This window comes from Homo sapiens, chromosome 15, assembly GCF_000001405.40.
Source record: "Homo sapiens chromosome 15, GRCh38.p14 Primary Assembly".
In the NCBI taxonomy this organism is placed as follows: Eukaryota; Metazoa; Chordata; class Mammalia; order Primates; family Hominidae; genus Homo; species Homo sapiens.
The window spans coordinates 27601907-27606376 of NC_000015.10; positions in this window are offsets into that span (position 1 = coordinate 27601907).

A 4470-nucleotide genomic window follows, 5' to 3' on the forward strand; every position below is an offset into this window, starting at 1 on the left:
GTCTGAGGCTTTATTGAAAGAACTGAACTCTATTTATGGTCTCCCTAATGTCAATCTGCACACTTAGGCAAAGTGTTTTCTGTTTCCCTGGAACATACCACACTTGTCAATTGTCCCTAAGCCCACGAAGCACAAAGCCACCTCAAGGCTTAAGCTTTTACTTAACGTTATAAAAATGTTATTTATTCTCAAATTATTCTATAAATTTAACATAATAATAAAAACTCACAGCTGGAATTCTTGAGAAACTGAAAACACTTATACTAAAATTAAGTGGAAGAATGAATATCCATGACAAGCCAAGTAAACTTTGAAAATGCAATTATAAAGTGTGTATGTGAAATATTATGACGTTAAATTTTTTTATATTGGACTTGTATTTCTGTTTTGAATTCCAGGTATATATTTGTATTTGCATTTTTTAAAATTCATCTTGGTTTCAAAAGGAACCCTTTTGCATAACAGTGGAACATATTCATGCCAGGGAGCATTTCAGATCCTCTTGAGAAGCAAGCTTACTTGTCTTCAGAAAAGGAGATTTGTAGCTTTCAGCCCAGTGAACAAGTGGGCTAAAAAGGCAATATTGCCATTTTAAATGTGAATAAACAGTCAGCAACCACCCCTTCACATTTTATGTTCAATTTTGAAATGCCACACAATTAATCTTTGAAAACTGTTTTAATACACGCATTTATAAAGAAAGACACACAGGTGGGAGGTGCAGTTAAGCACTTCACAGAGTCAGCTGGGGACTATTTTTCTGAGCCAGAGCTCTGCCATCGACATGTCTGGACAAAAGTCCTGTGCTCTAAGACCATGCTTCCCTCCTCAGAGAATCAGCATGAAAACAACAAAAAGAACCCCACAGATTTTTTTCCTTTGTGCAGCAATTTTTTAAAAATGCATGAACAGAATGAATGCCACCATTTTCTCTCTGTCTCTTTCTCTCCCTCTTTCTGTGTGTGTGTGTGTGTGTGTGTGTGTGTGTGTGTGTGTGTGAATGGAGACTATTTCTCCTGTTATTCATCTGCCTCCATCCCCCTGACCACAGTGGAGTGGCAGTAGCAGAGATGGAAGCATAGGGAGGTGCTGTGGTTTGAGTTTGTCCTCATCAAACTCCACGCTGAAATGGGATCCCTAATATGATGGTGTTGGGAGGTTGCAGGCCTAGTGTGAGGCGTTTGGGTCATGGGGACAGATCCCTTATGAATGTTACTACCTTCTCATGGTAGTGAGTGAATGCTCACTATAATGAGACCAGGTCAGTTTTCCTAAGAATGGATTAACTCCCACCAGAGTGGGTTGTTACAAAGCCAGGATTCCCCTTGGTTTTTGCTTCCTCACAAGTGTTCACTTCCCCTTTGACCTTCTCTGCCATATTGTGATGCAGCACAAAAGCCCTCGCCAGAAGCCAGGGCCATGCACTTCAACTTCCCAGCCTGCAGAATCAAGAGGTAAATAAACCTCTTTTCTTTACAAATTACCCAGCCTCAGCTATTCTATAATAACAACACTGAATTGACTAAGACAACAGTCAAAGGAAGAAGGGCCCTGGGATTCATCCTGGATCCACTCAACCCTTTATCTTACTTGTCTGAGCCTCTCAGAGGGAGATGAATTAATTCACCAATTACAGGTCTCCCTTGAGAATTTGCTATGTGTCACACACTCTAAGTATTGCAAACCTAAAAAGCTGGGCCTTATAAATAAAATTGGTACTTGCAAGACATGGAAGAAAATGATGAACACCCCATCTCATGGATTTAGAGCTTCGAAAGGCCCAAAGAACCAAGATTATGGTTCCAGATCTGGCTAAGCATCATAACCATCAAGAATACCACAGATTAATTTTACAGATGGCCCAGACCCAACTCAAGGCACTGAATATGTCTAGGTTTCCATTGAAAATTACTTTTCATACTAAGAACCTGGAAGATCCCATATTGAATAAGAAGAGACCACCAGTTGATGCTAAGGCTGAGATGACAGAGATGTCAGAACTTTCTGATAAAGGAAAAACGCAGGATCATAAAAATACTTCCATGAGCAGTTGTAAACATGCTTGAAGCACACATAAACAAAAACACAGAAAGCCTCAGCGAAAAAAGAGAAGGCTTAAAGAGAAACTAAGTAGAATCTCAGAACTGAAAAACACAACCAAAATAAGAAGCTTGGTGAATGAATTCAAAGGCAGAATGGAGGAGACCGAGGAGAGAATCAGAAAACTTGAAGATAGAACAATAGAATTACCTAGTGCAGACAGCAGAGAAAACAAAAGAGAAGAAAAATGAACAGTGCCTAGGAACCTATGCAAGGGCCCAGTAAAAGATCTAACATTTGTGTCATGGGAATCCCTTATTACTGACAGATGAGGTGGTAGCTATAGCCCCTACATGGTCTCTACCAACATTCTGTACATGTACGGGTTGTGTGGGGTAGGGGATGTTCATTTCCAGCTGGCAAAGGATCAGTGCCCTAGCTCCCCATGTGACCTTCTTTGACACACCATGGTGGGGGATTGGGGCCCCCCATTACAGCCTCTTGAAGGTAGAAATGGAGGCTGCCCATAAGCTTTTGCTAGTGTGGGCTGTGGTAGGGCCATAGTTTGTGGTGTTGGCTGGAGTAGAACATTTACTGTCTTAATGTTTTCTGTCTTGCTAGGTTCCCCTTTTTCCTGGTCCTCTTGCTAGAGACAGCAGGTGTGTGTGTGTGTGTGTGTGTGTGTGTGTGTTCTATGCTCATTGGGGTTTCTGGGTTGCTGGCTTCACCAGGGTATGGCCTTGGGATACAAGAGGTAAAATGAAGCTCAGGGAACTCATTGGTGTGCTATTGTTCTTCAAGTTCCCTTACTGATCTGTCTTCCTTTACCATTCAGTCTTCTTATATTTACTGTCCTTAGGAGGAGGACTAGAGAACAGAATTTCTACTCCATTTTTTGGAAGCGGAACTTAAAAGATTTTTTAACAATTCAGATCCCTTGTTATAAACGTGAAAACTCATATACCTCCCTAGAGTTTCAGATAGTCTCTCGTCTAGTGGGATTGTTTTTGCTTCTCCAATCCCCACTCAGAGTCTTTGCCCACTGGCAATCATTCTTTATGATTTTGCATTATGTCAGAAACATGACAGACAATCTTACCTAATTCTGAACACAAACAGATTGTATTCTAATAATTAACATGAGTCTTAATTTATGCACACATTCCTAGCAATAGTGTCATGTCCTTGGGGATGGCTGGAGGTCAATCCTCTTTTCCACCGTTTGAAAGCTATCATCCCTGAAGGTTCCCTTTCCTTTCAAAATTCAAGGCTGTATTTATTAGAGCATGTGTTATTTGTCCTTATCTTGCCAGCACTAAGAAGAGAATCTCAATTCCAAAATGGAATTCTTGGGCTGCCAAGCCCAAGGAGGAGAAAACACAATGTGATATTAATTTCCTTAGAACTTAAACCTGTGCATCATTTAAGGATAACATCTTTAATAATCAATCATCTTCTGTCTCAAGTCTGACTTTATGGTTTAAAGGATGTCACATGTACTGTGATCTCAGCCCTGTTCACGGCCCAGTCATAGGAGCCATTGCTACCATACCCATCGGCTAGAGAACATTGTTGAATCTCAGATAATAGAAGCCATTTGACCTTCTAAAACACAGAGAGGAGTCTGGCCTGGAACACATTTTTTGCCCAACAGTTCAGGAGTCTTTCAACCAAACTTGACTTCCCCTGTATGTGGATCCAAATTGGACCTATCTGTTTCCCAAGTGTCTGTGTGGTTCTCAACCTAGGACAGCTTTGCCACCTGGAGCTCATTTGGCAATGTCTGGAGACATTTTGGGCTGTAAAACTGGGAGCATGCTCCTGACAACTGGAGGGTAGTGGACAGGAATGCCGTTGAACATCCTGCACCACACTGGGCAGCTTCCACCACAGAGATGTACCTGGTTCAAAACCCAAGGATCAAGATGGAGAAACGCTACTAGGTGCAAATTATCAGGGGCCTGTTCATGAGAATTGCTCCAAGATACACGTATTAGCCAAGGTTCTCTAGAGGGACAGAACTAATAGGACAGATGTATATGTAAACGGGAGTTTATTAAGAGTACTGACTCTCACAATCACAAGGTGAGGTCCCACAATAGGCCCTCTGCAAGCTGAGGAGCAAGGAAGCCAGTCCGAGTCCGAAAGCTGAAGAACTTGGAGTCCAATGTTAGAGAGCAGGAAGCACCCAGCACAGGAGAAGGCTGTAGGCTGGGAGGCTAAACCAGTCTAGTCTTTTGACGTTCTTCTGCCTGCTTTTATTCTGGCTGCACTGGCAGCTGATTGGATGGTGCCCACCCAGATTGAGGGTGGGTCTGCCTCTCCAGGTCCACTGACTCAAATGTTAATCTCCTTTGGCAACACCCTCACAGACACACCCAGGATTAATATTTTGCATTCTTCAGTCCAATCAAGTTGATACTCAATGTT